The sequence below is a fragment of the Homo sapiens genome, chromosome X (assembly GCF_000001405.40).
Source record: "Homo sapiens chromosome X, GRCh38.p14 Primary Assembly".
Taxonomy (NCBI): domain Eukaryota; kingdom Metazoa; phylum Chordata; class Mammalia; order Primates; family Hominidae; genus Homo; species Homo sapiens.
In genome coordinates, this window is record NC_000023.11 from 130,673,926 (window position 1) to 130,698,988 (window position 25,063).

The following is a 25,063-nucleotide window of genomic DNA, read 5'->3' on the forward strand; positions in this document are numbered from 1 at the left end:
GAGAAGCATTTCTTTTCTCCTGTCTCACTGGATTATATGAAGATTGGGCTTTTGGATGTGTGAATTTAGTAATACTTTAAAATGTAAATGCAGGCTATTATCCTAAGTGAAATAACTCAGAAACAGAAAATCAAATACCATGTGTTCTCACTTATAAGTGGGAGCTAAACAATGGGTACACATAAAGATAGATAATAGACACTGGGGACTCCAAAAGTGAAGAGTGTGGGAGGGGAATGAGGGTTGAAAATTAACTATTGGATATAATAATCACTATTTGGGTGATGGGTATACTAGAAGCCCAAAGCTCACTATTACACAATATACTCATGTAACAAACTTGCACAGGTGCCCCCGCATCTATAATGAAAAAAATGAATGAAATTGAAGACCTAGCAATAGAAACTATCTGTAATAAAATACAGAAAGAAAAAAGACTGAAAAAAAAAAAAAGAACAGAATAGCAGTGAGCTGCGAGACAACTTCAAGGGGCCTAATATATGCCTAATTGGAGCACCAAAAGACAGGGGAAGAGAACAGAAAAAAATTAAATAAGGGGAGAAAATTTTTCACATTTGATCCAAACTCACAGATCCAAAAAGTTCAATGAACCCCAAGCACGAGAAACAAGAAGAAAATTACATCAAAGCATATCATAATTGAATTGCTCAAAACCAGCAATAAATATCTTTTTTTATTATTATTATCATACTTTAAGTTTTAGGGTACATGTGCACATTGTGCAGGTTAGTCACATATGTATACATGTGCCATGCTGGTGCGCTGCACCCACTAACTCGTCATCTAGCATTAGGTATATCTCCTAATGCTATCCCTCCCCCCTCCCCCAACCCCACAACAGTCCCCAGAGTGTGATGTTCCCCTTCCCGTGTCCATGTGTTCTCATTGTTCAATTCCCACCTATGAGTGAGAACATGCGGTGTTTGGTTTTTTGTCCTTGTGATAGTTTACTGAGAATGATGATTTCCAATTTCATCCATGTCCCTACAAAGGACATGAACTCATCATTTTTTATGGCTGCATAGTATTCCATGGTGTATATGTGCCACATTTTCTTAATCCAGTCTATCATTGTTGGACATTTGGGTTGGTTCCAAGTCTTTGCTATTGTGAATAGTGCCGCAATAAACATACGTGTGCATATGTCTTTATAGCAGCATGATTTATAGTCCTTTGGGTATATACCCAGTAATGGGATGGCTGGGTCAAATGGTATTTCTAGTTCTAGATCCCTAAGGAATCACCACACTGACTTCCACATGGTTGAACTAGTTTACAGTCCCACCAACAGTGTAAAAGTGTTCCTATTTCTCCACATCCTCTCCAGCACCTGTTGTTTCCTGACTTTTTAATGATTGCCATTCTAACTGGTGTGAGATGGTATCTCATTGTGGTTTTGATTTAAATATCTCAAAAGCATCCATGGACAAAAGACACATTATGTACAGAGAAACACAGATAAAGATAACATCACATTTCTTGTTGGATACAATGCAAGCAAGAAAATGGTGGAACAACATCTGAGAGAGGACAAACATCTTTCAAAAAGAAAGGTGAAACACTTTTTCAAATCAACGTTGAAAGAATTCATCAGGAACAGACCTGCTCTACAAAAAATGTTAAAGGAAATTCAAGCATAGGGAAAATGACACCAAGTGGAAATATGGATCTATAGAAAGGAAGGAAGAGCATACACAATGTGTGATTCCATTTATGTAAAGTTCTAGAAAATGACACTAATCTGATAGAGAACAGATAAATGGTTGCCTGAAGGGAGAGTGGTGAGGGGTAGAAGGACAGGATTGCAAAAGGGGTGTAAAGGAAGCTTTTGGGGATAACAGACATATTCATTATTTTCATTGTTGGTGATGGTTTCATACCTGAATACATATATAGAATATTATATAATTGTATTTTTGAAATATGTTAAGATCATTGTATGTCAATTATTATACCTCACTAAAATTAAATTATTATAGCTAATTAAAGCTGTTACAAAGAATAATATTACCCAGTAATGCCAAAACTGTCATACATTCTTTTTAGAAAAAGGAAGAATGAATACATTTCATAAGCAAGCCTTTCTAGGGCTCTTTACAGTTTATAATACACTTGCACATCCATTCATCTTATTTGATCATCTGAGCCATCAGAAAAATGGGGCTACCAATGATTACCTTGCCTATTCTCCCAGAACTGTGGAGAGGATCAAATGAGAGGATGAGATGAAAGCTCTACATAAACCTCATTAAAGATGCTACAATGCTATGGGGTGGGTGCACTGTGCACAGTGCCAGCTCCCAAAGGTGCTCCAATTCCATCAGAAAAAAAATGAAGATCTCCACATTTTCTAGCCCCCTTTTGTAAGGGATTTTTTTTTTGTTTCTTTTAACTGCTTTCTTTTACAAAATGAGATAACAGCCACCCCATTCAGGAGATTGCTAGCACTTGGGCACTTTCAGGGGGACAGATTCAAATTTAAAGGGCAAAATTTAGTTGTTTTCATATCACTGATGGAAATCCCCTTTCTTTTGGCAGCCCTAAGAATGTTTCTAGGAGGTGGCTGTTAACAGAGAGCTGATTTTGGTGATGTTTAGATGGATGCTTCCTGAACAGTATATTGTCTTTTAAGTACACCTACGCAGGGTTTTTTGAGACCTTTATGTTCTTATTAAAATAGTCTCGTGGAATGCTCTGTTATTATTAAGTGCTGCCGAATTTTTGGTAATTAGATTCTATAGCACTTACCAAATGTAAAAAGAGTATTCTCCATCTACACCTCCTCCTTTCCTTACCCATGTTACCAGCCTACTTTTTCAAACCTTTGTTACCTTTTCCCTGGCCTATTACAACAGGCTTCTAACTGACCTCCTCTCCTCTTTTCACATCTCTCCTCTAATACAGTTTTATATAGAGCTGTCAAATTAATCTTGCGGAAATAATTATCTTCCTTGTTCAAAAATTTCTTCAATTCCCTATTACCTGAGGAGTAAAGACCCAACTGTTAAGCCTTTTGGAGTGTGCTAATAACTGATATTTTGCCTCCTCCTCTCATGTCTACTTAGTAAACAAACCACTACTCACTGTTTCCTGAATGTTTGCCAAAGCTTACCACCTTTGTACTTTTGCTCATGCTGTTTTCATGCCCCATTGTCCACAAGCAAATGTTTTCCCTTTGTCAAAGACTTGGTCCAAAAGCTACCTTTCTTGATGCCCCCAGTTAGGAGTCAGAAATATTCTCGTTCTCCCTCTCCTACCTTCCTCCCTCACTTCCTCCTCCATGGCACTTATAACTTTTAATCTCTTATTAGCAGTGTGTGTATCATATCAGTGTATTGAGTAATGCCTGGCACTAAATACATTTTTCTTTAATAAATAAGTGTATGACTACATACTAACCCTAAATTCATTAAGGGGAAGAACTAGGTTTTACTCATTTTCTACTCTGCATAGCATCTAGCACAAGAGTTTACAGAAAAAAGATGTTCAATAAGTACCTGTTATACCAATGAAGATGCTGTCATCATGAAATGTCTAGCACTTAGACTCAATTCTTCCAAACCATTACTGTTAGGCAAAGAAGTAGTTCAATGTGGCAGTATTAAGAGCTGGGGCCTTTAAGAGGTGATTGGGTCATGAAGTCTCTGTCCTCATAAATGGATTAATCCATTCACAGATTAATGGATTAATGGGTTGTCATGAGAGTAGGACTAGTGGCTTTATAAGAGGAAGAAAGACCTGAGCTAACTCTCTGCAGAGAGCAAGAAGGCCCTTACCAGATGTGCCCCCTAGACCTTAGACTTCCAGCCTCCATAACTATAAAAAATAAATTCCTTTTCTTTATAAATTACCCAGTTTTGCCAGGCATGATGGCTCACACCTGTAATCCCAGCACTTTGGGAAGCCGAGGTGGGTGGATCACCTGAGGTCAGGAGTTCGAGACCAGCCTGGCCAACAAGGTGAAATCCCATCTCTACTAAAAATACAAAAATTAGCCGGGCGTGGTGGCAGGCGCCTGTAATCCCACCTACTCGGGAGGCTGAGGCAGGAGAATTGCTTGAACCCAGGAGGCGGAGGTTGCGGTGAGCCAAAATCACATCATTGCACTCCAGCCTGGGCGACAAGAGCAAGACTCCATCTTAAAAAAAAAAAAAAATTACCCAGTTTCAGATATTCTGTTATAAGCAACAGAAAATGGACCAAGACACACCCTAAATCTGAATTTTTACTATAAACAGGAGATTTTATGCAAAGTAGTTCTTACTATCTCCACTCCAACCACTGTACTATACAGGCCACCATCACTTCTGGGTTAGACTAATATTACAGCTGGTTAACTTAGTTCCCAGTCACCACTCCTGCTCATACCTCTCAGCCCATCTTCTGCTCAGAAGTAACATTTGTAAAATGTAAATCAGATCATGTCACTGAATTCCTTAAAATCCTCCAGTGGCTTCCAGAATAAAACTCATTGTCATAGTTGCCTGCCTTTCAGATTTCATTTCCCTCCACTCCCTCTCTCATTTTCTATGCTCCAGTCATACTAACTTTCTATCCTCTGCTTGAACATACCAAGTCCATTTTCATCTCACGGACTTTGGCTTGGTGTTCCTTATTTTGGAACGCTCTTCCCCAAGATGTTTACATGGCAATCTCTCTTCACATTATTCAAGTCTCAGTTCAAATGTCAGAGAAGACTTCCTTTCCTAACAACTCTGGGTACCTTAACCTTTTTTATCTTCCTCGGAGCACTTAGTACTGAAAGTAACTTATTTATTTGTTTTCATATATATTATATTTTGCCATTTCCAGAATGTAAAATCCTTGATGACAGGAAGTCTATCTGCCTCACCCTTTGCTGCATCCCCAGCAACCTAGCATTCTGCCTAGCAGTCAATAAATATTTGACAAATAACTGACTTCCATAACTATTTATGAGTATCTACTTTTGTGCCAGGTTATGTGCTAGATGCTGGGGATTCAATGTTAAATAAGACACAGTCCCTGCCCTTAAGGATTTCACGTTCTGGTGGGGGAGATGGATGTGGAAAGAGACAGTTCTAGCATGGTACAGTAGGTGTCATGTTGGGAGGAAGCACCAGGTGCTGTGAAAGCCCTGAGGAAGGAGTGCCTAAAGCAGTGCTGGGCAGAGTGGGGAGACAGGTCAGAGATAGCTTTCCAGAGGAGGGTGTGCTTGAGCTGGAGCTTTAGGGGGTGTGTGTGGTGGGCAGGGTGACTCTAGTCAGAGGAAAAGGCATAAAACACCATGGCACATTCTGGGAATTCGAGTTCACTTAGTGTGGTTGGGACATGGTGTGTGAGGGAAGGAAGGACTGGGAGATGACTCTAAGAAGGACAGCCCACAGTCAAGGCCTTTAGATGCCACATGTGAGGAGTCTGGATTTATCCCATAGACAACTGGGAGCTACTGAAGAGCTTTAAAGGAAGAAGTTGAATGGGAACATTCAGTTTCCACCTCTGAAGGCAAGAGCAGGTAATACTAAGCCCAAACTTATCTGCTATAGACACAAATAGTTCTATCTTTAATATCTGCGTTGTGCCTGGTGGGCACAATCCTCACATCTAAACACCTACCAGACAGATACAGGGCTTTGTCCACCATGTACTCCTCAGCAAAGCGAATGTGGCAGAAGTTCTTCTTGCTCTTGCGAATGGCAATGATCTCTCCACACTGCTCGAAAACTTCCACAATGATTTGCTCTGTCCCATTTTCAGGCAGACCACCCACAAATACTGTTTTGCATCCTGGTGGTCTTTCTCGGGTTGCAGGAGGTGGGAGATCTAAGTTGTAAGGGCAAAAACATTTGAAATTAAAATGTTTGCTTGGGACAGACCTCTTCGAAATCTAACATTTCCCTGCTATCCCTGTCAAACTTTTGTCTAAGAGTGTCAGAAGGATGTGGCCTCTGAGGTGTTCATCTCTGCTCCACAGAAAACTGACTGAGTGAACCTGAAAATCATTTTATTCAATCGTTTGCTGACCATGATATCTGGAGCATAAAGACCCAGGCCTATTTGTCTGTCCCATCCAGAGTCCTTTAGTTTTGTTCGTTACTTTTGTTGTGACAATCCAGCTATGCCAAATTTTTAGTCATTTTTATTAAGAAATTAGTGGGAGAAAATCCCACTCAGTTTAAACTGTTATTTTCAAGAGTTCTCAGAACCAGGGTTCCTGAGGAAGGATTTGTTTAATTCAGATTGTAGTTACTACATTCTCTCTGTTAATGCTTTTTGAAGGAACAGATTCAGGATTAATTTGACAATGATGGGGTACCTACTTACAACAATGCCTACAGCTGTCAGAATGATTTGGTTTCACAAAATCAGTCAGAGTACAAACCATCCCTTTTATGTTGTTTTTTTCAATATCAGTGAGCCTTTCCTCAAATTCCTTGCTGGAGAGGTGAGGTCCAGAGTCTGTCTTGCAGCATTTACAGGGAAATATGAAAGACAGCAGAGAAAATAAGCTCGTCTGGGAAATCATTAACTAAAGTGAGATAAATTTGGCCATAGAGAATCATTAAAAACCTACTTAATGAGATGATTCTCCCTCTGCTTCAAAAAAATATGCACTCATCTTAAACATAAAGCCTGTTCTATCTGCCAGCTCTTTGTTGCTATTTATATGTATCAAAGCAATTTCCAAGCAAACTCCTACAGTTTGTAGCCCAACAAAACAAAGCATGATGGTCATGGGTTTTCTAGTGTTGGTTTTGTATCCGCAAGGATTTATTTTGTGTAATCCATTCTTTTCCATTCAGCTCTTAACAACAATTCTCCTAGCTCAAGATTTGGAGAGCTCAACAACCAGTGATTATAGCTCACATGCAAAAATAAATGAGTCATGTTCATAGATTAGGCCAAGGCCCCCAACCTGACTCTTATCCAAGTTGGCAAGCAGTTGATTTGGGAGCCTCCTTGGGTATCAGGATCTCTAGCTTCCTCACTTTGCTACTACTCTCTGTCTTGTTGGTGTGGCTAAGAATAATCAGTTACTCATAATACTCTCTTTCCCTGTATTTGGTCAAAAAAAGGGGTAAAGGGATTCAGGGAACTTACAAACTTTCTGTTAATTTTTACAAGTCTGTAATTTCAAGACCTCACTGTACTGGTTTTTTGTTCCATATGAAAGGATTAGAGGGAAAGGGAAAATAACCTAGTGAGCAGGAATCTGAAATGTCTTAGTCACAAGCACTGAAGAGGTTGTAGTTTGGGCCAAAATAGAGAAGATGAGGTCTAGAATTGTTTGAGACTTATGCTTTTGAGTTTTTAAGAACTGGAAGGGATTCTAGCCATCACACTTCCAGTGATTCTTAACTCTGGTGGCACATTTGAATCAATTTGGAAGTTAAACAAATAATGCCTGGGTCCCACCCCAGTGGGTCTGATTTATTTAATTAGTCTGGGGTGCAGCCTGTGCATTCGTTTTTTTTTGTTTTTGTTGCTTTTTAAGCTTCTCAGGCAGTTGTAATGTGTAGTTAAGGTTGAAAACTATTGACTTAGTCTAAATCTCTGATATTACAGAGGAAAAAGCTTAGTGAGGTTAAATGTCTCATTCCAGGTCACCACATTAGAGAGAAGGAACATGAACTTGGAGCAGGTAAACCTAAATGTAAATCTTAACTTCATAACTGACTGTATAACCTTGGGAAAATTATATAACCCCTGAAAACTTCTTCCTTCATCTTTAAAACAGGGATGCTGTTCCCACCTTACAAGGGTTATTGTAGGATAACCGATAATATACTGTCTATATTGCATGTGGCTCAATGCCTAGCACTTGGCCGGTTCCCAATAAATAGCAGTCATTGTAGCGTTATTATTATTTACTATTATAGAACCCAGGTTTCTTAATTCCCAATCTGGGACTTTCTAAAGTCCTACCAGAAGTCTGGAGTAGAGTGGTAGCTAAGACCTGAACTTCTAAACTTCCAGATCTTAGTGTCACACAGATCTTTAGACAAGGCTGGGTTTGAGAAGGAACCACTCATATGGATAGAGAAATCTACAGCTATGAAGATACATATGGCTTTGACCATGGAACACAACCCCCCCCCCCACCGACTATATAAGGTAAAGAATTTCCAAGAGTATCCATATAGTTAGAACCATGTTTTAAAATTAGAGACTTTAGAATACAATCCTGTTTCAGAATCAAAAAGGCTTCCTAAGTTTACTATTTAGGAGAATTAGGTGGCAAAGAATCCTTTTGTGAAGTTAGTAATCACTTTTATACCATTTGAGTTTCCTTTAGTCTACCTTTAGGTCCACTGAGAGACTCTAAAAAGCATGTGGTTACTGTGGCAGTTACATGTAACACTGAAAAGGCAAAGGCTCCATCCCCTGGCTACATTTGTGGGATTTAAAAATTCTTTGGGGGGCTGAGGTGGGCGGATCACGAGGTCAGGAGATGGAGACCATCTTGGCTAACACGGTGAAACCCCGTCTCTACTAAAAATACAAAAAATTAGCTGGGCATGGTGGCACGTGCCTGTAATCCCAGCTAATTGGGAGGCTGAGGCAGAAGAATGGCCTGAACCTGGGAGGCGGAGCTTGCAGTGAGCTAAGATCTTGCCACTGCACTCCAGCCTGGGTGACAGAGCGAGACTCCGTCTCAAAAAAAAAAAAAAAAAAAAAAAAAAAAAAAAAAATTCTGTGATGAAGTCATCACCCTATTTAGGTGCTGTGATTCTTCTGTGGTGACTGTTTTCTAAGTAAAAGGGCATAAAAGCCACTAAGAGTAATGTCAAGAATGCTGAGGATTTATTTATTTTCCTTGGGTAAATGTAGAAAGCCTCTTTAATAGCATTTGCTGAGATTTAGGGGTATGCCACCAAGCAGGGCAATGGGCTATACTATCTTCCTTAATGGATAGTACCCATTCCTTAATTAACAGCTCAAAGCACTTTGTCGTCTGGGCCTGATTTTCTAATCCCACTGAAATACAGTGATCAGGGCACAGCAATGATAACCCATAGGAGAGCAAATTCAAAGCCCACCTATTAATCAGGTAATGTGCTAAGCTCTATAGCACCCCAATCACCACTCAGGATGGAGACAAAGAAAAGTTCCATGTACAAAGATTCAAGATAACTGGGAATAAAAAGAACTCTAATCTCTGGTAATGGAAAAGGAGGAGCTTTTAGCAATTCTAATTATACCCAAGCATCTACTCTGGGGAGCTATGTTGGGGCAATCTGAGTCATTGCTGATCTTTGAGAAGTGAGGCAGGAAGCAGTATAGAGAACCGATAAGCCACTTGAATCTTGCTTTTCAAAGGAGCATCACAGATCACTCAGCTGGTTTGCCAGGATTTATATACTGCAAAGTCTTTAAGTCGATTTTATTAGACAGCTCAAGATTGAAGGTCCCCTGGACAATCAGCAGGGGTTAAATGTATCTTAATGTAATCCCAACTGATTGGAAAAATTAGAAGGCTGGGGAATTTTAATTAATGCTCAATTTCTCTAACTCTCTTTATAGCATTCAGCCCTGAGAGTCTTCCCATTTTGATATGGTAAAATGAAAACATTGTTCTTGCTCTTTTTCTGGCTCCTGGGTATTTTCCCATGTTCCTGGAGACGGATAGCAGATGATATTCCATTACTTATTCCCTGTTCACTGTTATTTCCCAGTAGACTCAAAATGTAACCTCTCCATAGAAGGTCTAATCGCTGAAGTGAAAAATCTTGGCAAAATCAAATTTTCTGGAGAGAATCGTATTACCCTTTTTTTTCACCACTAAGAACTGCTAATTGGGAATTCAGTAAATCTCTGATAGACACTCTGTGAAAAAAAAAAAAAAGTGTGTTCCAGGGCACTTATTTTTTTCTTGTTATATCTCAGTTTCCTGGAAATCAGAGAATGTTGCTTCTGCAACAATGGGGTACTCACTCACCATTTATCTTTAGGAGACTGGTACTTGGTCTGCTCCAGTCTAGTTTGATCCATTGACTTTTTAGACCAGGTCTGATTTTGCCTAGTCTACAACAGAGAAGTTAAGATCCTTATCAGAGATCTTATGGCTATTTAGTGGTGGAGAGCTGGGATATGAAACCAGGCTGGCCTGTGTCACTTCTGAGCTTGAAAACTTACCCATTATGCTATAGTGCCTGCTCCAGAGAAGGTACAAAGCTCTACATGCTACCTGCCAACCAGCCCTTGCTTTTCCTAATGCATTTTAAAGGGCTTTTGCCTATGTAAATAATTATTGTGGTAGCTACATTTTTAATGTAGAGAATCATAACTTTAGAGCTGGATGAAGCATTAGAGGTATCTAGGCTAATCTAACACAATATTTTTGCTTTACACACAAGGAGGTTGAGACCAAGGAGGTTATATGACTATCCCCAGATCCCACAGCTAGTTAGTGACAGACTTGGGAATAGAACACAGTTGTCTTGATTTATAAACTGGTAGTCTGTCCTCTATACTATAATACCATTTTTTGTACATTTGATGTAGACACACCCAGAATAGTCTAGTAGGCAGTTGGCTACATGTATCTGAAGCTTAGAAGAGATATAGACTAAAAATATAGATTTGGAAGTCATTAGCATGTAGTAGTAATTACCTCATACTCTCTTGCTTTGCTTTCTAGACCTCTGACCCCTCCTTCTGTCATCATCCATCCAATCCTCCCTCCCACCATCATTCAACAAATATTTATTGAACACCTACTATATGTAAGACACTTTTCTAAGTGCTGGTGATACATCAGGAGACAAAAAAGACAAAAATTCTGCCTTCGTGGGGTTTATATTCTACAAATTATATAGTTGGTTAAAAGGTAATAACTCCAGTATGGGCAACATGGCAAAATCCTGTCTTTAAAAACAATACAAAAATTAGTTGGGCATGATGGGGCATGCCTGCAGTCCCAGCTACTCGAGAGGCTGAGGCAGGAGGATCACTTGAGCCTAGGAGGTGGAGGCTGCAGTGAGCCAAGATCACACCACTGCACTCTGGCCTGGGCAACAGAGGGAGACCCTGTCTCAAAAAAAAGAAACATGTTTTATAAAAAATAGAGAAGGTAAATAGGATTGGGACTGTGGCAGAGAGATAATTTTTAAATAGGTTATCAGGGTCACTGAGAAAGTGACATTTGAGCAAAGACTTGAAAGAAGTGAGAGAGTTAGCCACGCAGATATTTAGAGGGGAAGTGTTCTAGCTAGGTGGAAGAGCTAGCGCAAAGGCCCTATGATGGGAGAGTGGCTGGTGTGTTCATGGAACAGCATGAAGGTCAGTGTGACCGGAACAGAGGAAGAGATGGGGAGGAGAGTAGGAGATGAAGTCAAAGAGACAATGGAGGGGAGGAACAGATCATATCTGACCTTCTAGGCAATTAAAAGGACTTTAGTCTCTATTGTGAGTGAAATGGGGAGCCATTCAAGGGTTCTGAGTAGAGGAATTACATGATCAGACTTAGGTTTTAAAAGGATCACTCTGTCTGTTCTGTTCAGAATAGACTGTAGGGGGCAAGGGTGAAGAAGGAAGACTAATTAGAAGGCTATTACAATAATTTAGAAAATGAATCATGGCAGATACAAACTAAATCATAGCAGTGGTTATTGTGAATATGGAAGGATTACAGACATATGTTGTTAGGTAGACTGACATAATTTTCTCACAGATTAAACGCACTGTGTGAGGGAAAGAAATCCATTAGATTTGGCATTCACTATTTAAGTGAAAATGCCTTAGAGTGATTCACTACAGTTTTAGTTCCGATACCTTCCATGTGGAAGTGAACCAGAAAGGGGTATGCTTGAAGTTGGGCTGGAGGAGAGTGTGAGGAGTATGAGGTCAGGAAGTAGTTGAACCTGACTAAATGGCAGGTATGTGGCAAGTAGAAGTGATGGATTGAAGACAGTCATATGAAGCAGACAAGTAAAAGGTTTTTGAGGTCAGGAGTTGGACTATGAATCTGTGGGCAGTGGGAGCCACAGGACAATTTTATGGTTCTATATATGTGACAAGCACTTGGATGAAATGTCAGGTGGGACACAGGGGAGGGAATGGATGGCAAAGATACTTTCTAATAAAGCAACAAGAATTAGAAGCAGACCGTATGAGTCCCTGAATCACAGGACCTTATTGCTGAGAGGAATTTCAGAGGCCATTGAGTGTAAGAGAATATACCAGAGGCAGGCAGGAGTAAGGAGTGGGGTTTATAATTGATATGGTTCGGCCCTGTGTTCCTGCCCAATTCTCATGTAGAATTGTAATACCCCATGTTAGAGGTGGGGCCTGATGGGAGGTGATTGGATCAGGGGGTGGATTTCTCATGAATGATTTAGCACCATCCTTTTGGTGCTGCTCTTGTGATAGTGAGTGAGTTACCGTGAGATATGGTTGTTTAAAAGTCAGGAGCACCTCATCCCCACTCTCTTGTTCCTGCTCCTGCCACACGAGACACCTCGCTCCATCTTTGCCTTCTGCCATGATTGGAAGCTTCCTGAGGCCTCCCCAGAAGCAGAAGCCACTATGCTTCCTGTACAGCCTGCAGAACCATAAGCCAATTCAACCTCTTTTCTTTAAAAATGACCCAGCCTCAGGTGTTTCTTTATAGCAATGTGAGAACAGACTAATACAATAATCAAGGCCTGATCAGGCAGGGTTGGTGGGCTGAGATGATAAAGGGTTCAGTCACACCAAATCCCTGTTCTTCCTTTCCTACCCTGCTCTTCCCATCTCACCTTCACAAAGCAATGTCTTGGGGCCACCAACAACAATGTCACTTTTGCCATGCTTTCAGCAGAGAACTAAGAGAAGCACTTCTATTAGTGTTTTCTCCACCCAAGTAATCCAAGCCCACTTTGAACAAAACTCAAGTTCTAAAAAGCAAACAGAACACCAGTTTACTTTAAGCTGTGTCAAGAGTTTTATGTTTGAATTCAATTCCAAGGCCAGGTTCCTTCCCAGAAGCCACCAATTTACTGGTGCTAGTTGCCCCGTAAGCATTCTCAATACAAGGATGAAGAACTAAAAGACGGAGCCATGGGGGAGATATGCTGCCCTCTCACTCTGTGAGAGGTTCTTCCAACTCAGAACTGTAGAGGCATGGCTGCAGGTGGGGAAATATAAAAATGTATTTGAGAGATGTCAGTCCGTTTCTTTTACTAGAGGCTATCAAAAGTTAGAGCCTTCTTAAGCTATATATTTCTAGATTCATTTGAAGACTGCTCAACAATATGGTCTATGTGTCATAAACAAGGCATCTGTACTTTAGAAATTTAGAAACTGAACATCCTGTAAAGTAAACTACTGCAACCAACCTGGACATTACAGGTTGTGAGCCATCCTGTTAGCTTAGATATATTTGAGACAATGAAAGCCTGCTGCAGGCTGATTATGCGATAAATGAATGATTAATCAGCAGGATTCTACCCTTTCATAAGCAGGAGGTTTTAACACTGGCAGTGCCTAAGTTCATGGCTTTTTGTGTAGAAAAGGTACTATCAGGAATACAACTTTCTCTAATCTGAAAGCAACATGCTGAAAGGTAAAAAAGGCCATTGCCCACTTGTAGGGACAGTGGAACTAAGAGTAAGAGACAGATAAAATGGTGCTGCTCATTCACTTAGGCACTAAACACAAATCCAGGAATGGCCATTTGAGCTGGCAAGTAAGGCCTGCAAGGGCCATCTTATTCTCCATTCCCTAATTCTCCTTGTGACATACTAGCTCTTCTCTCAATACAGTCCTCTGAGATGCTGGCCTCCTAGATTTCTTATTGGTCTGGAAGGATGTATCTTGTTGACAACCACGTTCAAAAACCAGAAGAAAGCATAAAGATCTGTTTTTTTTTTCTAGCAAAAGAGGCCAAGATGATCTATCCAACCAACCTGATTGATTATAAAATCCTCTCAGTTATGAGCAGACCATACTAAGTAAAATCTGGGTCCCTGCCAGGGCTTGGGCCATGATTAACTGATTCCTATTAAAGGTAGGAGATGAAATATTTGTCTGAAGTCACATGTCAAAGATTCATATTTATCCTGATAAGGCAAGGTCATTTGATCTATGCCCTAAACCACTGAATGTATCTCTTAACAAACAGCTCTAATCTTTGTACTGCAGTGGTGGTTCCCTTGGTATGCCACCCAGTATGACTAGAACTATGGAAAAATCATTAATGAGGCTTGGGGCACATGCAGAATCAGCTTCTAATCACTGAATGTATATAAAACCCCAAGTGCATCTGGAAAAAAAGTTTTAGTCAATTATTATTAGTGGGACATTTTAAGTAAAATAGGGCCACCCTATCTTTACACATGTTTTAAAGTGAATCTAAGGAGAAGCCTCCTCATTACTGACAAAATGGATCTCTAGATTACTTCCACATGAACTGCATTGACTGGTGGCTATGAGTAGTGTGACTTAGTCTCAATATTCCTCTTTGCCCTTCCAATATGTTGAGCCATGCCTCACTGTATATTACAACCCATCGGTTGAATAGCAGTGGTTCGAGTGATGTATGAATAGTTGCTAGCAGTGGAAGATTCTTAGCACCAAATGTATATTCTCATGTGCTTCAGACCACACTCTGTCTCTGCCACCATCAGCACATGCGGCAGTTACGAAAAGAAAAGACTGCAGATGATGGTGTTGAGCAATCTGTATGCTTCCTTCTTTACTAACACACTTGAATTCCTTACCAGATGGCATTAGAAACATGTATCATTTGTACTGCAACCTGCACACAAAAGTCTACTGTTGTGTGCATAAAATTCAACCCTGCCTAGCAAGAGAAAATTTTCCTGTCTTCTGTTCTCTAGGTGAAGCTTTCGTACAAACATCTATGAAGCCCTTGGGTATTCTTTTGAGAAAGAAGAAAGCTTTCTTGTACACTAAAATATTGTGTCTTGTGTGGAGAAAAAAGCAGAATATTACTTGGATTTGGAGGGAAGAGCGTGCAGCTTTTACAGTGTATGATCTCTTTTACTACTGGCATATCTGGAGGAATTGGTGGAGGTACTATTCCCAAACCAGGCATCATTGGAGTTATTGGTGGAATTCCAGTCATCATTCCAAGAGCAGGATCAAAGTCTAAAAAAGGAGAAGAGAGAACAATAAATGACACCAGGCAAAGTTAAGTGGAGATAGAATGTTACTTTGTAAGCTTCAAATCAAAGGCCTTTCTAAGACAGAGGCAAAATATTTAACAAGCATGGTACTTAGTATTCCCAGGTCTTAAATATTATCTTATAGTTGTGCATTTTCCTTTCAGGATGGGGCTGTTTGGTTTGACCAGGGCTTATTTAAGTCTCTGCATCTCATTGTGGCATCCAAGGTCTTTCATAGGATGGCCATGCCTTGTCTATTGATCTTGCCTCTCCTAGTTTCCAACACACACTCTCTGCTCCATTCCGAGAAGGCTTTTTACTGTCCCTTGTACATGTTTTCTTTGTACGGTACAGCATGATATTAAGAGCACAGAGTTTTGGGGATCAAGCAGACCTGGGTTTTAGGTCTACCATTTGCTTAGCAGGATGAACTTCCATTTCCTCATCTGCAAAATAGGGTTAATATCACCTACGCTACAGGAAGCTGTGAGGAGTAAACAAAATGATGAATCTAATATGCTGAGCATAGGTTTGATAAATAACTATTCTCTGTGCCTTTGTTCATGTTTTTCTTTCTGCCTGGAATTATTTGGGCCTCCGCAAATTCTCCCCATGCTTCAAGGCCTGGCTTAAGTGTCACCTTCCTTGAAGAGGCTTTTCCAGATAATTCTGGTTCATTCTTGACTTTGCCTCTAAAAGCTATAGGTTCTATACCTGTTACCACTGATTTTTTTTTTATTTTGCATTATTCTTTGTTTAATTCAGGGATGCCTCTAGCATGTGTGGGGGCACCCAAACAAGTATTTTTTGTGGGGCCTATCTACGTACATGGTTTGTTTCACTGCGAATCAGTACTGGCAGCATTTTCGTGGCACAATCTCACGCGATACCATGAAAGAAATACCACACCAGCCAGCTGGAGTGGTTTCCTTGCCAGGCCACTCTCCTGGAACCAAGACTTTGGGGAGGATTCCATGAGTCCTGAAGCTTCTTGGGGCATCTAGTTCACTGCACATACAGGTTAGAGGATTGGATAGTATCGCAAAGGGGAGAAATGGGGACTCAGGTACACATGTGTCCTGTTTAAGATTGGGGCTTCTCAGATGATAATGCCAGTCACAGTCAGTCCCAGACACTGGAGGGGAACTTAGAAAATTTCAAGAAAGGTACTTCTTACAACCAGAATACAAGGAGGAGCTGCTCTGGACCCAGGACAGCTGCCCTGATGATACTGCCTGCCTGGCCAGTGCTTGGCTCTGGAAGGGGACTTAGAAATTATCCAGGTAGGCATTCCAAAGCACAGGGGTCCCTGAGGAGGAGCCCCACTTGCCTGGATCTAAGGCTGGTATTGATTTCATTGTTTAAATCTTGCCTCTAGGTCAAAATGGAATTTCTGTGAGAGAAGGGAGTGCACTTTACTTCTTTGTTTCTCTGCCTCCCACTTCTGCCTTCGCTATAGAACCTGCAGACTGCAAAGAAAGAAAGTGGACTGCAAAGAAAGAAAGTACTGCAGCCTGAGGGGTTCTGGTAATGCAGAGGCAGTTGCAGCAGCAGTAGCAGGACTTACTCCCAAAGACTTCACCATGTTCACCACACAGGCCAGAAGAGCAATGCCTGTACACATGTCCTTAAAGTGGCCCTGAAGTCCCCTGGGTGGCTCTTTGTCTCTAAGATGCTGGATGAGGTCAACCTAAATGGCAGGAAAAACCCAGGATTCCCACAGAAGCAGAACCTCAGGTCTGACAGGCACAATAAGAGGGAGATCTGGAGCTGGGCAGGCAGATGGCACATGGACATCCCCTGTTACAAAGGCAGCCCAAGCAAGCTAGGGCACTACCCAGCCTCTCACATGCCTTTTTATCCTGTGATGTCAAGACCCTGAAAATGTTTGGGAAGAAAAAAATTCTCCCAAGAGGAAGTTTTATTTTTATGAAAATATTTACTTTTAGCCCTCAAATGTCATCTCACTCAACTTGCATGTACACACACACACACACACACATACACACACGTACTCTCCCCTTCCCTCCCTCCCACCCATGGCTCTCATATCTATACTCTACTCTCCTCCATATAGTAGTTATGTGATGTTGAAGAAAGTTTCTTAATATCTGTGTGCCTCCATTTCCTTTTTGGTAAAAGTGGGGGGTTAATATCTGTATGCCTCTATTTCCTTTTTGGTAAAAGTGGGGGTAAATAATGGCATTTAGCTCAAAGGACGAAAGCACAGAACAGATATGAAGACCTCTGGCGTGAGAGATAGTACTGATAGGTAAGTTTCCTTCCTTCCATTTAAAATGTGAAAACTCACACTGATAAATTCACTAATTGAGGCATTCATTCACACATTCACAAACATCTGTGATAGGCTTCCTATATGTCAGGCTCTATGCAAGTGTTGGGGGTGGTGTCTAGGTTTCCCGTTTGATCTTAGAGAACTTAAGGCTTCCGATACCCTGTCTTCCTATGCTGTAAAATAAGAGCACTATGGTTAAGAATGCCATTTATGTCTTCGGAAAATTTGATTTCTCATGCAGAAGATTTTGGAGAAATTATTAACATTATCTTACCCATTTACAAACTGTTATTTTTCGTTAGGAAAAGATCAGATTAGATTGTGTGCCAACAAAACAATCCCATCTATTTTTCCTCTTCTACTGAAATGTTTGTCTTCCTTCTATTGTTCTGCCTGCCTCCTTGTTATTCGTATAGCTCTGTCACTCACAACTCTACCTTACCACAGATTACAGAAACATCAGCTCATTAAACAAGTTCTGCCACTTTGGCTGAGAAGGAAATGTCTGTCTCCATTTACTGTCTACTAATAAATGGAGACAAACAAAAAACAAATATACAGGATAAATATAACTCCTGACTGATGTACTTACCACTCTGCTGTTTCGTATAATTACATTAATATTTTATAAATTCATTTAAAAGCAAACGTATTCATTGCATATGGCTAAAGCCAGAGTAGATAAACTCCCCCTCTTCCTTTTGTTCAATATGCCAGGAGTTCCATAGGCTACACTGCCCATAAGGGCTTCCTAGAGGGCAGGTTGTACATGACATTTCAAAGGCTTCTATCACGTTGATTATTTCTTTTGTTTATCTTTAACCATTAAGCACCAAAGTGAATGTGGATTTCCAATGTCAACCAAGAAAACCATTTGAAGTCATGGGCTTTATACATATATTGCAGAACCTGAAAAATCAAAGAATTCCAGCAATTTAAAACACACTGGGAATAGAACACCAGAGGAATTATCTCCCTTTTCCAGGCCCCTGGCCTGGCTTGTGGAGTACTACCAAGTATGTACCATTGCCACTTATATTAGGAATTCAAAGTTTCAAAGATTTGAAATCATATAAAAGAGTTATGGAAAAGGCCAAGATACTCCTCCAAAGTCCTTTTCGCAATAAATATCCTGTTCTATTTTGCTTTTATCGTCTCTTCTAACACCATTTCCCCACTGCCTTCTTGACTCTTGGCATGGCCATTGCTGAAAGAGCCATGACATGTTGATTTGTATTATCTCTCTCTGTTTTTTTTTTTTTTTTTTGAGACGGAGTCCCGCTCTGTTGCCCAGGCTGGAGTGGAGTGGTGCGATCTCAGCTCATTGCAACCTCCGCCTCCCGGGTTCAAGCAATTCTCCTGCCTCAGCCTCCCTAGTAGCTGGGATTACAGGCATGCGCTACCATACCCGGCTATTTTTTTTTTTTTTTGTATTTTTACTAGAGAAGCGGTTTCACCATGTTGGTCAGGCTGGTCTCAAACTTCTGACCTCAAGTGATCCACTTGCCTTGGCCTCCCAAAGTGTGGGGATTACAGCATGAGCCACCAGGCCCAGCCCGTATTCCCTCTTCTGATTCATGTACTTCCCAAAGTCCCAGCCCACTGGAAATTCTGCAAATGCTGTCTGTTAGCTGGGGCCAGCTTGCTCCTCAGACTTGCAACTCTACCATGTGATTTCAAGTAATGTTTCCATGTAGCTTTGAGCCTTCCTGATACCTAGCAACTTGCACTTACTCAACCTTGGCAGAGTGATTATTGTCCATTCTCTGTACACATCTGAGCCAAGGAATTACAATGGAGGCAAATGTCATTTCTGTGCAGCTACCCAGTTATCCCTATATCTATTCATTCAATATTTTGATGACAGGTCCTATGTCAGGTGTTGGGGCTGCAGAAATGAATAAGACAAAAATCCTTGGCCTTATACTCTAGTTTGGAAACAACCACGCAAACAGTTACAATGCTGTACCATCAGTGAACCACCATAACTGTTTATTAAGTGCTTAAAATGTTTTAGGTTCAGTGCTAAGCATTTTATATAATCACATTCTAATAGACCTGTGAGCTTGGATATTGTTATCCTTCATTTTATGGATAAAGAAGTTGAGGTTCAAGGGGGGTTTAGTTACGTGCTCAAGTTTATACAGCCAGTAAGAGGCAGACCTAGAATTCAAATCCAACTTGGTCTAATTCTAATGCCCTTAACCACTACACTGCCTCTCAATGTAGTATGACAATGGTTTCAATGAATTAATATGATTGCAGATATAAAGTGAAGCAAATATGTTGGAAAAAATAAGGCATATGAGCAACAAAATGTTTACATACAATTCTTCTTCCCCCAATATGGTGGATTAAAGTTGGATATAAATTCTTTGATTCTCCTTCCATCAAGGTAAGGGTCTATGCCCCTATCCCTTTGAATCTGGATGGGCTCTAGAACTGCTTTAACCAACAGAATATGGCAGAAGGGATACTGTGCCCTTTTTCAGGCCCAGGCATTAAGAGAGATGCAATTTCTACCTTTTGTCTCTAGAAATGTGTGATACAGGAGCTTTTCATCCTCATGGAAGGCTGACTACCCTGCTAGAGAGACCATGTGGAGAGAGACTTAGAGCAAATGACAGAAGATGGATCCAGCTGAGCCCAGTCTTGTATCTGTCCTTACCAAGGTGCCATGCATATGAGTGAAGTCTTGAAATCAGCCTGCCACAACTGAGGTATCCCAGTTGATATCATATAGAACAGAAAAATTGCCCATCTCAGTCCTACCCAAATTCCTCAACCAGAAAAATCTTAAAATATAATAAAATGATTGTGTTTTAAGTCACTAACTTCTAAGGTAGTTTGTTATATAGCAATAGATAAGGAGAATATCCAGCATGGCTGCAGTGGAATGTGATTGGTTAATAGAGTTAACAATTTTCAAGGAATGAAAATAGAAAGTACACTAAACAGCCAAACTAGACTGACCATGATTTTTCTCAGATTTTTGAAAAGGCGCTTTGGGATCCTGCAGGGCACAGAGCCACTGTCTTGGGCAACTGATGCCACTACACTGTTGCTATATGGAAGGACCATTGTTCAGTTGGAACAATGTCAGATGACTGACGTTCTACTAGGTGTACTAAGATAACAGTTGTCTACCAAACCGTAGAAACCTCAGAGGTGTTCTACATCTGATGTCTGACAAAGACATCACACGTGCCTATTTTATGGTTCAGTCCTAATAGTTTTTGGCAGGCCCGTTCATGCTGGCTTTTCTTTTCTTTTTTTTTTTTTTTTTTTGAGATGGAGTCTCGCTCTTATCATCCAAGCTGGAGGGCAATGGCATGATCTCAGCTCACTGCAACCTCTGCCTCCCGGGTTCAAGCGATTCTCCTGCCTCAGCCTCCCTAGTAGCTGGGATTACAAGCACGCGCCAATATGCCCAGCTAATTTTTGTATTTTTAGTAGAGATGGGGTTTTACCATGTTGGCCAGGCTGGTCTCGAACTCCTGATCTCAGGCTATCTTCTTGCTGTAAAATGCCAACTTTTACCTTTGTGGTAGGGGAGAGGAATACTAGCCACTCATTAATTGGCTACTTATGAATTTCCAGGTTTTATACACTGCATCTGACTTAATCTTCACAACAATCCTAAGGGATGGGAAATAATATTCCCTATTTTACAGATGAGGAAACTGAAGCTGAAAGAGATAACACAGTAAGGATACACAGTAAGTAGCTCTTACTAAACGTGCTCCTAACCATTAGTCTACACTGCTTCCCACAAAGTCCACAGTTTCATAGAGAAAGACAGATGCCCTTTGTCAGATCAGTATCTACCTACTCAACCTTGTACGTGGCCTTCAAACCTTCCTATCCAGGAGGCTATCCTGGGGTTGCTTATCTCTAAACCCAGAAGTTCCTATTGAGATATTTCACACATGCATTGTCACAGTGTTTTGGGGCCTCTTTTTAAAATTCATTGTTGCAATTTTGTGCCACAAAAGAAGTTGAAATTGTGGCCATGTATCAATTGGAGGCAGGCAAAGGTAGGAAGTGACACACATTGACTATCTTGCTTACAATTTTCAGAACTGGACCCTGGTTCTTACTGGAAGCCCCTTTACACTCTCAGAAAGGCTTTGCCTGCACTTAACGACTTATCCCCATCCAAGCTCCCCTGGCCCAATAAAAGCATTTCCAATCTTTTAGGTGTTCCAGAGACCCCTGAGCCCCAGGAGGTAGTTTTTACTCACAGTAAAACCACTGAAATGCAACCACAGATTATTCCAAAATAACTATTTCAAATAGGATCTAATTATATATGCATAATTAAGCTATTTTATAGAAAGTTATGATTTCAATTGAGCTACATATTTCTGAGACATTATTGTTATTTCTTTACAGTTCCTACAAAATTCATTGGAAAATTAAGAATTATGCCTGTGTACTGGGAAATTTTAACCCATTACAGTCCTGCCTCCTTTCTACATAGTTTCTTTAAAAGACTTTTTAGGCAGTCTTTGTCAGATTAATATCTACCTACTCAACCTTATATCTCTCTTCTAATCTGAAGAGAGAACACAGATTTCCAAGGACAGCCTGGCTGAGCTGTAAGATGATTCTGGACTTCTCACCAGCCCTCTTGGAGGCACAAGTTCCCAAATTTTTTTACAATGACTCTCAAATTCTACCTACATCTGTCCCGTTTCCCCAAAAGATCATCTAAACACTTGTTTCAGCTCAGCTGGAAAGGTGAGACAGGGCCTGGCTCATGTACAACAGCAAACAATCTGGCAAACTGGGATTGGTGGGTTATGTGGCACAATTTCAGTTCACAAAGGTCCTCCCAAACATATCTCAACTTTGATCCCAAATTTCCACCAGTGGAGCTTTATTCCTTTAGTGCAAAGTTTTGCAAAATCTCCCTCTGTAGCCCATCTTCCCTCAACTCCTTTTTATTCATTTACACTGTGTTCTTGCCTTTTTAGAACATTTGACAGGTCCAGAGTCATGCCCTCCAAAGGTATTCACCTTTGGAGGGGCATTAGTGAGGACATTTCCCACTACATCTGTGGTTCCCAGATTTCTGGATTTTGGAAATGAATAAAATTATACCCATATTTAAGGTCACCAGCCTCTTAATTTGACAAGAAAATAAGTGGGGAAAAAATAAAAAGAAACTAAAAGAAGATTTTAAAATAAAAAATATAGGAAGTCTATCACCTCAGAATAAAGGGCAGTCCTTTCAATTGAGCAAATTTAGCTTCATGACAAATTTACTGCATTTTTAGTTTTTACATTTTGCCATAAACGGGTCCTGGCCTACACACCAGTGTTTGGGCTTTTGAGATCACTCAACCATTTCACTTAGTGTGCTCCCCTATATATGAAACTTCCTGTGAAAAATTTCTTTCAGAACTAGAATGTCACACACACACACACATTATTAAGGGCCATTAAAAGCTTCACTTCCCCTGAGGACTGGTATATTTTTTCTTCATGGAAAATGCAAATTATATAACTGATCAGGTTTCCCTTTTTTGTTTTGGCTGCTTTGTCACAGGGGCAGCTCAACTTCAGAAATCAGGTGGGAATCCTATGACCTACACACCTGAATTTTAATTAACTTCCCTACCTGGTCTTTGTCTTCTATTCTCATTTATATTTTCCCAGATGCTGATTTATTTTATTTTTTTATAAATTATTGTATTTTTTCATATACTGTAATCTTTCTTATAAGCTGCCTCAAAGTCTTTGCTGAATGAGGTGATGTAACTCAATAGTTAACCACTGTCTCCATACTGTATACCCTTGCATACCTTCCAATCATTGATGCACTGTTTCCTCTGCCTACACTGTTCTTAGTTCTTTCATCCTCCTGACATACTCCTATATATACCTGGACACCTAGCTCAAACATTACCTCTTTTGTGAACCTTCTCTGACCACTGCCATCTACCTAGCATTTCCCCTCACCACACCTGGGCTAAAACAATACTTATGTACAAGTTTCTATTATGACACTTGCAACATGATAGTGTAGTGGTATTTACTTTGTTGCTTCTGCCACTGCAACTTGAGCTTGAAGGCAAGGATTGTGCCATGCCCATATTGGAATCCCCTATATCTAGCTCAATAGATTTTCAATGAATGGATGGATAAATAACAGAACAAATGAACAAAATGAAAGGAAGGCCTTTGAGCTGTTGTCAGTGAACAGCCAGCTCATATTCGAGAACATGTTGGATTAGGGAGAGAATGGGAAAGTTCTAAAAGTATTGGAGTCACTATGAGGGTAGGAAACTTTGTCTTTCTTGTTCATTGCTCTGTCCGCGGGGCTTCTCACAGTACCTTCATACCGGCAGGCTTCAGTGAATATTTCTTGTATGAATGAATGAATAAGCAAATAGTTTGACTCAGTTCTTTCTCCTAATAGTTTCCATGGGGAGTCTTTTCCTTTTCTTTTTAAATGATTTTTCCTATCACTGTGCATTTACTTATTCCAGCTAGTTAACGTCATGAAATTCTTATCTCAAAGATCCTCTAGCCCTTGAGCTTCATGTACTCTTCCAAAGGCTTTAAATAGTTTAAAATGTTTCCAAGAGAAAACAGCTCCACAGCATTTACCTACACAGACTGTGATGTCGAGCGCCTCACTATCTGTATTTCTTGGTGTCTTCCTTGGGAGATAGGACCTCGTTCTTTGTGGGGACCTCAATACACAGTCTCTATTATGTTGACCAGCTCCTGTTTGTCCTTCTGTGGCCCAGTTAATCTTGTTGTTGCCAGTAATCAAGTCAAAATCATGATGTGCTTGTTCCCAAATAAAAATATGACAATACATAGATCATATAAACTCATACATTTTTGTTGAAGTAAAGTACTTCTGTAATATCAAGATAAATAACTACAACATTTTTAACCTTTTCAGCTATACAATACAGAACTCATGCATATTCATAAAAGTAGGGTCCCAATTATGTCCAAACCAAATGATGACGCCTCGGTCTTTTTTTTTTTAAAGGATGACCTGACACAACAGCTAACTGCCAGCTGTTGTGTTAGTACAGGAGCGTGGTGGCATGGAGGAGACTTAAATGAGTATCTCCAGGTGTAGATATGTTCCATGGTGAATCTTGAGAGTACCATCAGTAGGTAGAATTCAGGTTTGTTTTGAAGAGACATTAATTTTATCTGGTATATATAATGTTTACGTATTATTGGCTCTTGGTAAAATATATACCATGATGATGAACAGTGCTCTCCTTTCTCAGGATTGCAACTTTTTTGCCACTAAAAGCATACTCTATTTGTGGCAGATATTAAAAATAATACAAACCGAAGTCCAGGCCTTCCTGAGGAGCTTGCAGAACAGTGGTCTGTCATGTATCATACAAACTCCTTCTTTCTTTCTGTTCCCATCAGAGTTGGTCTGTTGGATCCAGTGAGAACTGCCTCCTTAAGAATGAGCAGGGCTTTGCTCTGGAAATAAGGTCCATGAGTCCATATTTTCCAATATCTTTCATTATGGAGCAGACACAGTCAATACAGTGGGGACATCATAATGAGGGACTCTTCTCTTTTTGGACTTCACAGGCTCCACACTTGGCTGCTAAGGATATTTTAATTGAGGGGAAAATAAAGGAAGCAGCAGGTAGTATTCAGC

The 25,063-nt window shown here is 40.3% G+C and overlaps 1 protein-coding gene across 20 annotated transcripts in view; it reads right to left on the reverse strand.

Moving 5' to 3' along the window:
- The window catches only part of ENOX2 (ecto-NOX disulfide-thiol exchanger 2), a 280,885-nt gene that overhangs the window by 51,601 nt on the left and 204,221 nt on the right, over positions 1 to 25,063 (reverse strand). For all 20 annotated transcript variants that reach the window (NM_001382521.1, NM_001281736.2, NM_001382520.1 and 17 more), the window contains 2 exons: positions 14,938 to 15,093; positions 5,617 to 5,823 (listed from right to left, as the gene is read on the reverse strand). In NM_001382521.1, the coding sequence (NP_001369450.1) occupies positions 5,617 to 5,823; positions 14,938 to 15,093 (363 nt within the window). The remainder of the gene's footprint in view (positions 1 to 5,616; positions 5,824 to 14,937; positions 15,094 to 25,063) is intronic.